Source organism: Homo sapiens, chromosome 17 (genome assembly GCF_000001405.40).
Source record: "Homo sapiens chromosome 17, GRCh38.p14 Primary Assembly".
Classification (NCBI taxonomy): Eukaryota; Metazoa; Chordata; class Mammalia; order Primates; family Hominidae; genus Homo; species Homo sapiens.
This window is the reverse complement of record NC_000017.11, coordinates 67,402,885-67,419,559: the sequence shown is the minus strand read 5'-3', so window position 1 is coordinate 67,419,559 and position 16,675 is coordinate 67,402,885. Positions and strand designations below refer to the sequence as shown.

The window sequence follows — 16,675 nt, the reverse complement described above, 5'->3', positions numbered from 1 at the left end:
TTTCTCGGAATTTTCCTGATACCCTACTTAAGGTCAAAACTAGAAAGTGTCCCAAGTAGGTAGGGAAGACGGGCCAGCTCTTACATTAAAGGAGGTACTGAACCCACCACACTTGAAGCAATGACGGAGAAGGATCCTCGAGCCTGGCACTGCAACTTGAAATGATGTTTCCTGGATAGAAATCTGTCTTAGTAGGAAATGCATCATGTCTGCGTCCTACTCCAGAAATAGGAAACTTCTAGAATCTGTGCCAGTGTGGTGGAACTGATGGAACCATTGGGAGAGCTTCCATTTCTCCACCACATGTACCTACTTTCCCCCTCACTCCCTGCTCCTGACTCTTTGCCAACCCCTGTTGCATCTTTCTGCTTTCTCATTTTTTTTTTTCTCCCTTCCTCCTTCTCCCCCAAGCATGCTTTTACTTATAGTTGAAAGCCACAGTCTCTGCTTAATACCACTGAATGTTAATCTGGACCAACAGGTTGCTGTCCTCTGCCCCTTACCTGGGGAGCTTTCATAAAAGTAACCAGTGGTAGCTTTGTAATATCAAGCCAAACCTAAGAAGCACAAAGTTCTCACAGGCTGAGTGATTTCTGAACACTACCCAAGTCATCACAAGTGTCCATTTTCTCTGGTCAAGCGCATTCATTTTCATCATGATTCTATTAAGCAAAATTCAGGCCCGGTGGGGTGGCTCACGGCCAGGCAGAGTGGCTCACGCCTGTAATCCCGGCAGTTTGGGAGGCCGAGGCAGGTGAATCACCTGAGGTCAGGAGTTCGAGACCAGCCTGGCCAACATGGTGAAACCCCATCCCTACTAAAAATACAAAAATTAGCCTGGCGTGATGGTGGGGGCCTGTAATTCCAGCTACTCGGGAGGCTGAGGCAGGAGAATAGCTAGAACCCAGGAGGTGGAGGTTGCAGTGAGCCGAGACAAGACATACCACTGCACTCCAGCCTGGGTGACAGAGCAAAACTCCATCTCAAAAAGAAAAAAAAAAATTCCTAATATGCCCCCATCCTCAGCTATTGATTTGTTCTTTTGCTTCCTTCCCCGCAACAACACAGTTTCACAGAACATGGAGAAATCTACCTACCTACCCAAAGAATGAAAACTGCGATTCCCTTGTGATAGGAACTTTTTGCATGAAACACTGAAATTCCATTTTCTCCCATTGTTTATCTTTGGGTCAGTATTTACTTACTAAGCAAAGTTAGAATATTCCATTTAAATGTAAAACTGTCTTCTCCCATGACTGGGAGAGCAGCACTGCCATAAGCAGACCAATTGAACAAGTTAGAAATTTGGTCTCCAATAAAAATAGGTATTGGGAGCTTTATATAGTCTCAAGGCAATAAGCAGATCTTAATCTACTGCCTAACCATCTCCTGAGAATAAAGTCATGTGCCTGGGAGCCTTAAAGATCCAAATCATCTGTTGGTAAAAGGATTTATGACATACATTTCCCAAGGAAAGAATATTTCAATACGCTGCCTTGTTCCATTGACTTTTTTTCTTCCAGACAGGGTCTTGCTCTGTCACCCAGGCTAGAGTACAGTGGCTGGACGTCCACTGCAGCCTGGACCTCCTGGGCTCAAGTGATCCTCCCATCTCAGCCTCCCAAGTAGGTGGGACTACAGATGTGTGCCACCACTCCCAGCTAATTTTTTTTATTTTTTGTAGAGACAGGGTCTCACCATGTTGTCCATGCTGGTCTCAAACTCCTGGGCTCAAGAGAACCTCCTGCCTCAGCCTCCCAAAGTGCTGGGATTACAGACAGGAGCCACCGCACCCAGCCCCCATTGACTTCAAGCAGTCAGAGCTCCCATGTCTGAGGGAAACCTTTTCAATGGTGCCAGCTGCAAAGGTGTGCTACTGGGAGGCAGCTGATTGAGAAATAACTTAAGAGCTGTGCAAATATAAATATGATGCACAGCAGAGAATATCAGAATTTTACAGAAAATACAAGAGATTCAATTCAGGCCTTTAAACACTACAGATCTGAAGGACAATGGAGAAGACTCAGGGAGGCTGGCAACCAAGAAATTATATGTAGGTTAAATTACCTCTGCCTCTCTTTCCTTGCTGACACCATGGTGGGCTCAAGAATCAAGAGGGTGCTGAATGTGGACCTGGTGTGGCTGCTCACACCTGTAATCTCAGCACTTTGGGAGGCCGAGGCAGGAGGATCGCTTGAGGCCAGGAGTTCGAGACCAGCCTGGGCAAACATAGCAAGACCTGTCTCTACAAAACAATGTAAAAAATTAGCCAAGCATGGTGGCATGTCCCTGTAGTCCTAGCTACTAGGCTGAGGCAGGAGGATCACTCAAGCCCAGGAGTTCAAGTCTTCAGTGAGCTATGATCATGCCACTGCACTCCAGCCTGGGTGACAAGAGCAAAACCATGTCTCAAAAAAAAATTTTTTTTAAGAGAATGCTGAATGTTGGCCGGGCGTGGTGGCTCACACTTGTAATCCCAGCACTTTGGGAGGCTGAGGCGGTCGGATCACCTGAGGTCGGGAGTTTTTGAGACCAGTCTGATCAACATGGAGAAACCCCGTCTCTACTAAAAATACAAAATTAGCCGGGCATGGTGGTGCATGCCTGTAATCCCAGCTACTCGGGAGGCTGAGGCAGGAGAATTGCTTGAACCTGGGAGGCAGAGGTTGCGGTGAGCCGAGATTGTGCCATTGCACTCCAGCCTGGGCAACAAGAGAGAAACTCCATCTCAAAAAAAGAAAAAAAGAGAGACAGAGAGAATGCTGAATGTTGTGAGCATTTCCTTTTAAGGGCACTGATTGTTGATATAAGTTGTTCTTGAATGGTGACATAGGTGCCAAGTTGCATAAAAGAGGAACGTGGTTCAGCAAAAATTGTACTTCTCAAATATGCCAGGAACCTATGCCAGTGCAACAGCATCCCTGCACCTGGGAACCAGGATAAGAGGTGGGGGCCAAGGGATGCAGGCAGAAATACGCTGCATCTGCCATCTGACAGTGGGTAAAATATACAATGCTCCATTGTAAATAAAATAGCAATACATGGGCTGGACACGGTGGCTCACGCTTATAATCCTAGCACTTTGGGAGGCTGAGGCGGGAGGATCATTTGAGGTCAGGTGTTCGAGACCAGCCTGGACAAAATGGTGGAATCCCATCTCTACTAAAAACAAAAAAATTAGCCAAGCGTGGTGGCTGGCACCTATAATCCCAGCTACTCAGGAGGTTGAAGCAGGAGAACGGCTTGAACCTGGGAGGTGGAGGTTGTGGTTGCAGTGAGCCGAGATTGCACCACTGCACTCCAGCATGGACAACAGAGCGAGACTCTGTCTAAAAAAAAAAAAAAAAAAAAAAAAAGCAATACATGTAAACAAGGAAAGGGAGATTTAAATTTATGTACAAAAAAAGGACCAAGTCTTATGTCCAAAATTAAGTGAATTTTTCAGTAAGTACCTGGGTCCGTAAGACTCCAGTCATTAGCCACCCGCCACGTGCTATTTTCCACATTAATCTATACATAACGGCGGTAGTGCCATGCCTTCAATTTTTACAATTGTTCTTCAACCTAACGAACAAAGAAGAATGAAGAATGGCAGTACATTTTTACACACATAGTAAATATAAACCATACTCAGGATTTTTTTTTTTTTAGGTAAGCGTGATTTTCAAAAGTCACTGTTTTCATTCATATTTCATGACTCTTGCATATTTATCAAGTCTAAGTTGGAACTTTATCACTGTTGACCAAATCATCTAGACGAAAGAAGAGTACAACATGATCTTCAGAAAATGCTATAAAGCCTCAGGCAGAATAAAATTAGAATGAGTTTCTGGGTTCCAAAAAAAATGTAACATTTTAGATTTCATTTATTAAGGGCATCGCCAAGGCCATTATATAACCATGTCCACGTAATTGTAATAGCCAACATTCCATTAATTCTGATTTTTGAGAGAACCAAGGCAATAAAAAGAAGCAATATTAAAAGTTAACTACATAGTACATTTGGGGAACGGTGGTTTGATTTGGCCAGAGCCCAGGACACAAGGGAAGGGCAGAGGATGAGGCTGAACAGTCAGTCCAGGCGGACTTTAAATGTCACACAAAGGGGCTTAGACTGGTAATATAAAAGAGGCTGTGCTGACCCAAAGGATTTGGAGACGATGACGTGCGTCTTGTTAGGAAACTTACAATCTAATGGGAGTGACACCTAAAGAGGGTCCTGAGCTACAGAAGGGCAGAAGAGAAATGAAGTATGGCAGGGACAATGAGAAAAACCTTTCCTGGTAATGTGGCATTTCAGTTGGACCCTGAAGGGTAGGTAGAATTTGACAACAGTAGATGGCAACAAACAGCATAACAGATCAAGAGAATGTGCAAAGAGGTCAGGCATGATAGCTCATGCCTGTAATCCCAGCACTTTGAGAAGCTGAGGAGGGTGGATGGCTTGAGTTCAGGAGTTCGAGACCAGCCTGGTGAACATGATGAAACCCTGTCTCCACAAAAAATACAAAAATTAGCCAGGCCTCGTGGCACACACCTGTAGTTCCAGCTACTCAGGAGGCTGAGATGGAGAATCGCTTGAACCCAGGAGGCAGAGGTTGCAGTGAGCCAAGATCATACCACTGCACTATATAGCCTGGGTGACAGAGCAAGACCCTGTCTCAAAAAATAAAAATAAAAAAGAGAGAATGTGCAAAGACACAGAGACAGAAAAACTCTATAGAACACACTCAGAAACTGATGAGTATTTCAATTCAACTGGACCTTCCCCTTTGCCCCAGATATTCTCTATTGACATGGCATTGACTGTGATTTGTCATTATTCCTATCTGTTTGTATTTATTTTGTGTTGTTTACTGTCTGTTTCAACCCCTGCGGGTTGACAAATATTTTTGGCTTTGCACACCATATGGCCACTACTCAACTCTGCCATTGTAACACAAAAGCATCCATAGGCAATACCTTGAGTGTGCCCGTGTTCCAATAAAACCTTATTTACAAGAAGAGGTGATGGGCTGGAATTGGCCCTTGGAATGCAGGTTGCAGACCTTTAGAATTTTACATATGTATAGTTTTCCAGAATTTTATATGCATAGATGCATACAGTATATATGGGGGGGTGGGGCTTTTTTCATTCGGCATAATTATTTTTAACTTCTTGCATGTTGTATGTATAAATAGTTCATTTCCTTTTCACTGCTGAATAGTATTCCAGTGAAAAGATATACCACAATTGGTTGATGCATTCACCTATTGGTGGGCATCTGGATTGTTTCCAGGTTTTGGGTATTCTAAACAAAGCAGGCACAGTTGCTTTTAATTTCTGCCTTTACTGTTTGGTAACTCCTCCTATGTTCTCTTTCAAAAGTGCCTCTTACTTGGCCATGGTTTGAAAACTGATAAGGCTGGGTTGAGGGTACATGGGAGTCCAACACACCATTCTCTCTATTTTTTTTTTTTTCAGTTCAAACTCATTTCCCTTTTATTAAAGTCCAAGTTACCATAACATGGTTTGGTATTCAATAAAGAAAAAGGTGTTCAAATAAGGTAACATGTTATCATCAGCATTTCCAGGGGAGTGTTTACAATCAAGTAGCAATACCAATAAATCCCTGGAACGCTTGTCCCTGGGGTTCACACTTTGTCTAAGCCTAGGTCCTCTGGAGTGGGGATTCCCAATTCATTTAAAGTTGGTCTGAGTTCTTGGATGACATTTTCTTATGAGGTCCTGCCTTGTCCTTAACAACCTCTAGGATGCAAACTGCCCTAGGAAAAGCATCGAACTGTCTGCATGCCTGCGAAGCAACATCAATGATTTGGGGTTCTGGAACCAGGTCATAGCCAGCAAGTGTGTTCAATTCTTTATGCAATTCCCAGGCATCTATCTCTGGCTTGTTGAAGCATGTCACCCAGCATGCATCAAACTCCTCATCTGCCTCATGTGAACCACGGAAGCAGCAGCAAACTGACTGGATAGTGGTGGTGGGGATAGAGGTGAAGGAGGCCTCAGGGCCCGGGCACAGCAGCAGAGAACAATGGCCAGCATGACAGTAATGATGACACACAGGCTGAGCATAGCGAGAAGCCCCATTCTCTCTATTTTTTATATAGCCTTAAACTTTTCCAAAAAGAAAGAAAGAAAGAAAGAAAGAAAGAAAATTAAGCACATTATAAAGTGCTTTTTCTTGACAGTATTGCCATACTAAAAATATTCAGTAATTCTATAGCTGAGCTAATGGGTCAAACTTGGGGGCTTTATTTAAAGAAGGTTTAAGTTTAATTCCCATATAATACTATAATCATGGAGAGTGTTTGCTAAAAATACAAATTCTTTGTGCTATCCTCAGAACGACTGAATCAAGATCTACCACTCCAAGTCATTCTTATGAGCAAGCAGGTTGGAAAACTGGAAAACACTGAATTCTCTTTCTGGATGATCTAACCTCCAATTTGGTTTCATATCAGAAAAAGAGGAACAAGAAATTTAATTCCTAATGTAATCTCTTTCTATTCCTATCTTTCCATTTCTCCTCCATCATTCTCAGATTCTCAAAAACACCGAAGGTATTATCTAGCAACCAACTCATTAAGGAGGAAAAAACAGTAATAAGGAAATGATCGATAAGAACTAGAAAGTAACTTGCAAATGGGAAAGATAAGGAAAAAGGAAGTTAAGTATAAAGAGAAATATGAAGGCCGGGCGCGGTGGCTCACGCCTGTAATCCCAACACTTTGGGAGGCCAAAGCGGGAGGATCACCTGAGCTCAGGAGCTCAAGATCAGCTTGGACAACATGGAGAAACCCCGCCTCTAATAAAAATACTAAATTAGCCAGGCGTGGTGGTGGGCGCCTGTAATCCCAGCTTCTCGGGAGGCTGAGGCAGGAGAATCACTTGAACCCGGGAGGTGGAGGTTGCAGTGAGCGGAGATCACACCACTGCACTCCAGCATGGACAACAAGAGCGAAACTCCGTCTCAAAAAAAATAAATAAATGAAAGAGAAATATGTAAGAAGATGAAACAGCAGATCTTGTCATGTTCTGATTTCTTCTCTTTTAGGTTAAATCAGGGCTTATTTAAGGTAAGGTCACAGGCAATCAAGAGGCTAATTACAGGGATGAGGGATGAGGTCTTTGAGATTTTAACCTAGTCTCCAGTCGAGTTGGAGAACTTGGCTAATTCCAAGGCTCCTGGAGCTTGTGCCATCAGCACCTAGTTTTGTCAGTATCTACTTGGAATTTTGACCCCCATGTTTCTCATCCCTCCTAGATAAATTACCCCATCCTCAGCACACATTAAACCCTGCCCCGGGCTCCAGGCCAAGTCCTGTGCTCAGTTTGGAAAGGTTTATTTGTAGGAGTAGTATTAATGGCTATTTACTAAGTCCCTACCGAGGGCCAGGCAAGGGGTGAGGCACTTCCATGTGTGATCTGAATCTCATGCTTCTTATTTTATAAATAAGGAAACTGTGGGTCACAGAAAATTTCGTTGACTTGCCTAAGGTCATAAAAGAAAGATAGTAAGAGGTTGAAATGAAGATTAGAAACCAAGCCTGTTTGACTCCCTAAACCATGCTTTTTCCAGAAGAAGTGCAGTACCATGGGAAGGGAGCTTGCACTCTGGAGCCAGAGTATCTGGGTTCAAATCCTGGCTCTGCCACTCCCCTCTCTGTGCCTCAGTTTCCCAGTTCCTGTAACACAGGAACAGTAACAGAATCTATTTCCCAGGATTGTTGTGTAGATTAAACAAATTAATATACATAAGTGCTTAGCCCTTATTAAGTACCCCCAGGATGAAAATCATTATTACTCTCTGTAAGAGGAATAAGGAGCAAGTCCATCTAGCTCTGATCTCGTGCCCCAGTTATGATAACCAATCATAACGTTACCTTGTTCCTGACACCAAGTTGCCTTCTGGTCTTCAGGTTCCCGTTTCTTTAACATAGGGCCTGGTGACCTACTAGGACACAGGTTCCCCTAGGCCTGGGGCATCTTGTCACTTCCTCCTTTCTCCTGCCCTCACTCATGCCTCATAAGTGGCATTCTGTCCCTGGGCCCCAGCTCCCAGGTGGAGCACTTTCCAACATGCTTCTCTACCAGGCAGGCTGCTCACCTCCCCGGCCCAACCACCTTCTAGGAGACTTTCTTTACCTCCTGCTGGCCATCCCTGGTGACCTATGTGCTGCGCTTTCCAGGACAACTCGCTTTCTTTATAAGCTGTAGATTTGCCCCACTCCAGAGAGAATTTCCAACTCTTTCAAGGTTCTGAGCACTACTGGCCCAATTCTGCATCCTTCAACCCTTTCACATGATACTATTGAATGAGATCATGAAATAGGGCAGGTGTCTCATCATTATGGGCAGGATTCTGTCTTAGCATAACCACTGTATGCTAATAGGTGGGTACCAAGAAAAGGAAGCACTCCCACCTCCCATTCATACCCAATTCTGTAAACTGCTCTATTTTTTTTTTTTTTTTGAGATGGGAGTCTCACTCTGTCACCCAGGCTGGAGTGCAGTGGCGCAATCTCGGCTCACTGCAACCTCCGCCTCCCGAGTTCAAGTAGTTCTCTGCCTCAGCCTCCCGAGTAGCTGGGATTACAGGCACCCAACACCACGCCCGGCTAATTTGTGTATTTTTAGTAGAGACGGGGTTTCACCAACTTGGCCAGGCTGGTCTTGAACTCCTGACCTTGTGATCCACCCGCCTCGGCCTCCCAAAGTGCTGGGATTACAGGTGTGAGCCACCCAGCGCAGCCCAACTGCTCTATTATACTTGCTCCACACCCTAGTTAAGAGAGCAATAGTAGGCTGGTGTGATGTTGCTTTAATTAACACGCAGACTCACCTACTAACAGCAAAAACCTTCACCAGGCCCGTGCGGTTGGTGGCTCACCCCTGCAATCTCAGTGCTTTGGGAGGCCAAGGTGGGAGGATCGCTTGAGCCCAGGAGTTCAAGACCAGCCTGGGCAACATAGCGAGACTTCATCGCTACAAAAAAATCAAAAAAATTAGCTGGGCATGGCAGTGCACACCCGTGGTCCCAGCTACTCAGGAGGCTGAGGTGGGAGGATCACTCGGGATTGGGAGGTCGCAGCTGCAGTGAGCTGTGATTGCGCCACTGCACCGCACTCCCGCCTGGGTGACAGAGTGAGACCCTGTCTCAAAAACAAACAAACCACTACCTCAACCAGCCAAAGACCTGTTTAAGGTCCACATTAATATTTTAAAATGTAAAGAGATACTTAAGTCTTCACTGTGAAAAAATAAAATAAATCAAACAAAGAGATACTAATTGCATACTACGTTCTCAAGCTATTGGCCTTTTGCTTATTTAATTCTTGCTAATAAAATATTAGAGGCCTAAAAGGCAAATTTCACTTGCAAATACCACTTGTTTCTTTTTAGTAATGACTTTTTTCAATGAGAGACAGAACAAACAGAATGCTTAAAACTGTTTTCTGAAACGTAGTTCTGACACATCGCTGATAGAAGCATAAGTATGACAATCGCTTTGGAGAACACATGCACACACTACACTTCTAGGCACATACTCTGGAGAGAAACTCACGCACGCACGTTCAAGTGAGTTCAGAGCAATAGTGTTCATAATAGCAACTTCTGGAAACAACCCAATCTGTATGGAACAAAGAATAAATAAATACATCATGGCAGATTTATACAAAGGATACTATTTTTTAGCCATAAAGAAATGAATGATGTGGGCCAGGCACAGTGGCTCATGCCTGTAATCCCAGCACTTTGGGAGGCCAAGGTGAGTGGATCATTTGAGGTCAGGAGTTTGAGACCAGCCTGGACAACATGATGAAACCCCACCTCTACTAAAAATACAAAATTAGCTGGGCGTGGTGGCGTGCACTTGTAATCCCAGCTACTTGGGAGGCTGACACAGGAGAATCGCTTGAACCAAAGAGGTGGAGGTTGCAGTGAGTTGGGATCACGCCACTGCACTCCAACCTGGGCAACAAGAGTGAAACTCCGCCCCGCCACCACCACCAAAAAAAAAAAAGAAATGATTTGTAGTTATATGCAGCAATTTCAGGATCAAAATGTTGAGTGAAAAAGAACAAGATTCAGACAATACAATGGGGAAAAATGTATTTTCAACAAATGGTGCTGGGACAAATGGATATCCATATGAATAAGAATGAATTTGGGGCCGGGCGCGGTGGCTCACGCCTGTAATCCCAGCACTTTGGGAGGCCGAGGCGGGTGGATCATGAGGTCAGGAGATCGAGACCATCCTGGCTAACAAGGTGAAACCCCGTCTCTACTAAAAATACAAAAAATTAGCCGGGCGCGGTGGCGGGCGCCTGTAGTCCCAGCTACTCGGGAGGCTGAGGCAGGAGAATGGCGTGAACCCGGGAAGCGGAGCTTGCAGTGAGCCGAGATTGCGCCACTGCAGTCCGCAGTCCGGCCTGGGCGACAGAGCGAGACTCCGTCTCAAAAAAAAAAAAAAAAAAAAAAAAGAATGAATTTGGACCCCTACCCCACACCATATGCAAAAATTAACTCCAAATGGACCAAAGACCTAAATGTAAGAGCTGAAACTATAAAACTCTTAGAAGAAAACATAGGCATAAATCTTTGTGACCTTGCATTCAGGAATGTTTTCTTAGATGTTAAACCAAGGCACAAGGAACTAAAAGAAAAAAAGAAGGCTGGTCCAAACGTAGTGAGTTATCTCAATTGATTGTTCACATTGAGTTACAGATTGAACTTGTTCTATTCTTTCCCCCTTTCTTACTACTGCATTTGACTAGAGAAAGAAAAAGAAGGAAAGAAAGAAAGAAAGAGAGAAAGAAAGAAAGGAAGGAAGGAAGGAAGGAAGGAAGGAAGGAAGGAAGGAAGGAAGGAAGGAAGAAAGAGAAAGCAAGCAAGGAGGGAGGGAGGAAAAGGAAAGGAAAGGAAATGAGAGTGAAAGGGAGAGGAGGGGAGGGAAAGGAAAAGGGAAAGGGAAAGGGAAGGGAAACACTGAACTTCATCAAAAAACTTTTTTTTTGTTTGTTTTGAGACGGAGTCTCACTCTGTCGTCCAGGCTGGAGTGTAGTGGCACGATCTTGGCTCACTGCAACCTCTGCCTCCCAGGTTCAAGTCATTCTCATGCCTCAGCCTCCAGAGTAGCTGGGATTACAGGCATGCACCACCACACCTGGCTAATTTTTGTATTTTTAGTAGAGACGGGGTTTCACCATGTTGGCCAGGCTGGTTGGTCTCAAACTCCTGACCTCAGGCGAGTCACCATGCCTGGCCTGAACTTTATCAAAATTTAAAAATGTTGATCCTAGGCCAGGCACAGTGGCTCACACTTGTAATCCTAGTACTTTGGGAGGCTGAGGTGGGTGGACTGCCTGAGCTCAGGAGTTCCAGGCCAGCCTGGGCAACATGGTAAAACTGTGTCTACTAAAAATACAAAAAATTAGCTGGGCGTGGCGGTGCATGCCTGTAATCCCAGCTGCTGGGAGGCTGAGGCAGGAGAATAGCTTGAACTGGGGAGGCGGAGGTTGCGTTCAATCGAGATTGCCCCACTGCACTCCAGCCTGGGCAACAGAGCAAGACTCTGTCTCAAAAAATAAAATAAAATAAAACTTATGATCCTTTTGTGGTTCACAAGCACAGCGATTGGGTTTTCACACTCATGTCTGAGATGTGCCGCTCTCAAACCTTACTATGACATCAGCACATTGCCTATCTGATGTAAAAAAATAATTTATTTTAGTTTTTTTTGTTTTTCTTTTTTTTTTCCGAGACAGAGTTTCGCTCTTGTTGCCCAGGCTGGAGTGCAATGGCGTGATCTCGGCTCACCGCAACCTCTGCCTCCTGGGTTCAAGCGATTCAGGTTGATGCCTCAGCCTCCCAAGTAGCTGGGATTACACGCACCCAGCTAATCTTGTATTTTTAGTAGAGACGGGGTTTCTCCATGTTGGTCAGGCTGGTCTCAAACTCCTGACCTCAGGTGATCTGCCCACCTCAGCCCCCCAAAGTGCTGGGATTACAGGCGTGAGCCACCACGTCGGCCTTATTTTAGATTTTTAAATTTAAAACTTTTGTGTTTTAAAGGTCACTATGAAAAAGTGAAAAGACAAACCACAGAATGGAAGAAAATATTTGCAAATCAAATATTTGATGAGGGTCTAGCATCGAGAACATATAAGGAAGTTTTACAACTCAACAAAAGAAGACATGTAACCCAACTGAAAACTAGACAAAGGATTTGAACAGAAATTTATTCAAAGAAGATATACAAATTGCCAGTAGATGAAAAGATTTCCAACATGATTAGTCATTAGGGAAATGCAAATCAAAATCACAATGAGATACCACTTCACACCTACTAGAATGGCTAGGACCAAAAAGACAGAAAGTACAGTGCTGGCCAGGATGTAGAGAAATTGGAACCATCGTACACTGTAGGTGGGAATGTAAAACGGTGCAGGCACTGTGGAAACCAGTTTGGCAGCTCCTCAAAAACCTAAACATAAAATTACACATGACCCAGCAATCCCACCCCTAGGTATATATCCCAAAGAACTGAAAGCAAGTGGTTAAATAAAAGCTTGTATGTGAATGTTCATAATAGCCAAAAACTGGAAACAACCCAAATGTCCGAAATATATATGTATATCCATACAATCAAATATTATTAAGCCATGAGGCCAGGCATGGTGGCTCACACCTGTAATCCCAGCACTTTAGGAGGATGAGGTGGATGGATCACCTGAGGCCAGGAGCTTGAGACCAACCTTGCCAACGTGGTGAAACCCTGCCTCTACTAAAAATACAAAAATTAGCCGGGCATGGTGGCACACATCTGTAATCCCAGCTACTCGGGAGGCTGAGGCAGGAGGATCGCTTGAACCTGGGAGGCGGATGCTGCAGTGGGCTGAGATCGCACCAATGGACTCCAGCCTGCTAGACAGAGCGAGACTTTATCTCAAAAAAAAAAAAACTATATATAATATATACATAATTAAGCCATGAAAAGGAATGAAGTACTTACTGCTTCATGCTGCAACACACACCTTTCATTAAACATTATGCTAAGCAAAAGAAGCCAAACATGAAGGCCATACATTGTGTGATTCCATTTACATGAAATGTCCAGAATAGGCAAATCCATAAGGACAGAAAGTATAGATTAGTAGCTGCCAGTGGTTGGGGAAACAGGGAAATGGGGAGTGACCGCCAATGGATACGAGGTTTCTTTTGGGAGTAGTGAAAATATTCTAGAATTGGCCAAGCAAGGTGACACACACCTGAAATCCAGCTACTCAGGAGGCTGAGGCAGGAGAAATGTTTGAGCCCAGGAGTTCAAGGCTGTAGTGCGTGATGATCGCGCCTGTGAAAAGCCACTGTACTCCAGCCCGGCAACATAGCAAGACCCATTCTCCAAAAAGGGAAAAGAAAATATTCTAGAATTGAATAGTGGTGATGGGTGCATAACCTTAAGAATATACTAAAAACTAGGGATCTGTACATTTGTTTAAAAGAATGAATTTTGTGGCATGTGAATGATATCTCTTTGAAAAGTTACTAGGAAAAAATAGCAAGTTATTGAAGACTAAATCATCTATAATGTCATATGTACAGAAGGTCTGGGATCAGGAAGAGACATATAGAAAATGTTGAACAGGGGCCAGGCATGGTGGCTCACACTTGTAATCCCAGCACTTTGGGAGGCCAAGGCGGGAGGATCACCTGAGCTCAGGAGTTCAAGACCAGCCTGGGCAACATGGCGAAACCCCATCTCTACTAAAAATACAAAAAATTAGCTGAGCGTGGTGGTGCATGCCTGTAATCCCAGCTACTCGGGAGGCTGAGGCAGGAGAATCGCTTGAACCCAGGAGGCAGAAGTTGCAGTAAGCTGAGATCACGACACTACACTCCAGCCTGGGCGACAGAGCGAGACCCTGTCTCAAAAAAAAAAAAAAGAAAGAAAGAAAGAAAGAAAATGTTGAGTAAACTCGTAACATTCTACTTATTAAACGGACGATAGATTTATGGGTAAATTGATTCATACCCGTGCAATATCCAATAAAAAATAAAAATTTTTGAACAGCAATATATTTTTCTTGTTTTTTAAGCCACAATCAACACAAAATTAAATTTGATTTTTTTTTTTTTGAGACAGGGTCTTGCTCTATCACCCAGACTGGAGTACAGTGGCACAATCACAGCTCACTGCAGCCCTGAACTCCCAGGCTCAAATGATCCTCCCACCTCAGCCTCCCCAGTAGATGGGATTACAGTCATGAGCCACTGCGCCTGTCCCTAAATCTGAATTTTTTTTTTTTTAAACGGAGTCTTACTCTGTTGCCCAGGCTGGAATGCAGTGGCACGATCTTGGCTCACTACAACCTCCAACTCCTGGGTTCAAGTGATTCTCATGCCTCAGCCTCCCAAGTAGCTGGGATTACAGGTGTGCGCCATCATGCCTGGCTAATTTTTGTATTTTTAGTAGACACAGGGTTTCACCATGTTGGCCAGGCTAGCCTCGAACTCCTGACCTCAGGTGATCTGCCTGCCTCGGCCTCCCAAAGTGCTGGGATCATAGGCGTGAGTGACGGTGCCTGGCCCTAAATCTGAATTTAAATGACCATAAACTGGTAGTCATCCTCAACGAAGCAACCACCATGTGCAAAGCACTATAAAAGCTCCTATAGGGAGTTAAAAAAAGAGGCAATAACAAACATAATCCTACAAGCAACCCATAATCTACACCATGCCTGGCCACCAGCTCCAGAAAGCCATAAACCAGCTTCCCCATAGAATAATCTTAGCCAAGCTTTTGTCATTCCCAGCAGCAGCTACTAGTTTAAGCAACTCATTTCAAACAATTAAAATATTAAATATGTTTTACTTTGTGCTTCAAAAATATATTTTGAAAATATCTTTCATCTCCCTTTTATAAGTCTGCTTTTAAAGAACTCAGGATGGATGCAGGTTTAGAGCATGCTTGGTGAATTGTAAAGAACTTCTTTACAAGGCTCAGTTTTTCACTTGAAGTCATGTATTTTTAAAGCCCTGACTTAAATGATATCTTTAGATTATCACACATTCTCATCTAGGTTCTATTACATCTGAGTTTCTGAATATTCATATAATGACATCTTAAAGTGCCTGTTTGCAAGACACAGTCTAGATAGACATATTTTTCTAAAAAACAATCAAGGTTTCCCTCAAGATTTATAATAGCTTGAAGGTAATCTAAAATTGTATCTACGTTTCTGGCTTTACAAAAGAATGGCAAATGCAAATAATGTTAACTTGAACAGTCATTTTCCACTGAGAATGTTCATATTCTTAATTTACATTACAGTTTTGAAGATATATGCTCCAGAAATGTTACCATTCCAGTAAATAATTGAGGAACATATCCCCATTTTAGGATATTTAGTATATCGGTACAAATAACTTGACAATGAATTAACATCAACTTCTCTTTGGTTATGCAAAACAAAGGTGTTGTTGGAATGGAATTTGTAGCCAAAAAGCCCAGGGATTTTGTTTGTTTGTTTTGAGATGGAGCCTGGCTCAGTCGCCCAGGCTGGAGAGCAGCGGCGCAATCTCGGCTCACTGCAACCTCCACCTCCCAGGTTCAAGGGATTCTCCTGCCTCAGCCTCCCAAGTAGCTGGGATTACAGGCACCTGCCACCACACACGGCTAATTTTCGTATTTTTAGTGGAGACAGGGTTTCAGGATGTTGGCCAGCCTGGTCTCAAACTCCTGACCTCAGGTGATCCACCCACCTCAGCCTCCCAAAATGCTAGGATTACAGCCGTGAGACATAACGCCAGTCCAAGCCCAGGGTTTACACCCAGCTCTGCCATTAATGATGGGGGTAATTTTGTCAAATCCTCTAAGCCTCAATTTCCACGTCTGTTAAATGAAGATAATAGGATCCACCTTGGAGGATAACTGCAAAATTGAAATGAGATGATTAACACATTGGGCCTGGCCCACTAGAATGTTCCATAAATGTTGGCCCTCTGTGTTCTCCCTTCCCCTTAAAGCAAAGCCTTGGTAAATAAATGTCCACACGGACACATATATAATTATGATTAAATGTTTATACACTAAAAAAGTTGGCTTCACCATTTTCTAAATTTTCTCCTCTGCATACAAAATTATAATCTTAAACTGTTTCTCAAAATATCTAACGAGAACCTTATTTTAAAAATCAAAACAAATGAGGAAGTAGGGAATAGTTCATTTTTAGCCTTATGAATATAATTGAGGGTTTCATTTCTACACCCAAATACCTACTGGTTTCTGCAACAAAGGAAAGCAGTCATGACTTTTTTTTTTTTTTTTTTTTTTTGTAGAGATGAGGTCCACTGTGTTGCCCAGGCTAGTCTCCAACTCCTGGACTAAAGCAATCCTCCCGCCTTGGCCCCTTGGGATTACAGGCACAAGCACTTCACCTGGCCAGACCTATGTTTTATGATTTAGATGTTACTGAAAAGTCAGTGACTTAGAGAAAGACACAAAGGCATGCTTATCACATCTGCCACGAAGCTAAGAAGAACGGTTAATACAGATATAACAGAAGCAAGAATCAAAAACGTGGTCAGGCTAGGCGCGGTGGCTCACGCCTGTAATCCCAGCACTTTGGGAGGCCAAGGTGGGCAGATCACTTGAGGTCAGGCGTTCCG

General features: G+C 43.7%; 1 protein-coding gene and 1 non-coding gene across 4 annotated transcripts in view, besides 1 other annotated feature; one reads left to right on the top strand and one right to left on the bottom strand.

The window, feature by feature from the left end:
- PITPNC1 (phosphatidylinositol transfer protein cytoplasmic 1) overlaps window positions 1–16,675 on the bottom strand; it is a 319,976-nt gene that overhangs the window by 277,697 nt on the left and 25,604 nt on the right. The gene's annotated exons all lie outside the window — the stretch shown is intronic.
- Window positions 11,408–12,378: an enhancer, noted in NCBI's record as "H3K27ac-H3K4me1 hESC enhancer chr17:65403298-65404268 (GRCh37/hg19 assembly coordinates)". NCBI's record gives its function as "activates a minimal SCP1, AML or CMV promoter by ChIP-STARR-seq in primed H9 embryonic stem cells {active_cell/tissue: H9 hESC(primed)}" and the evidence as "EXISTENCE:reporter gene assay evidence [ECO:0000049][PMID:30033119]".
- LOC124904124 (small nucleolar RNA U13) lies at window positions 11,614–11,717 on the top strand. The gene has a single exon (XR_007066002.1). It is a non-coding gene; the product is annotated as a small nucleolar RNA U13 (small nucleolar RNA).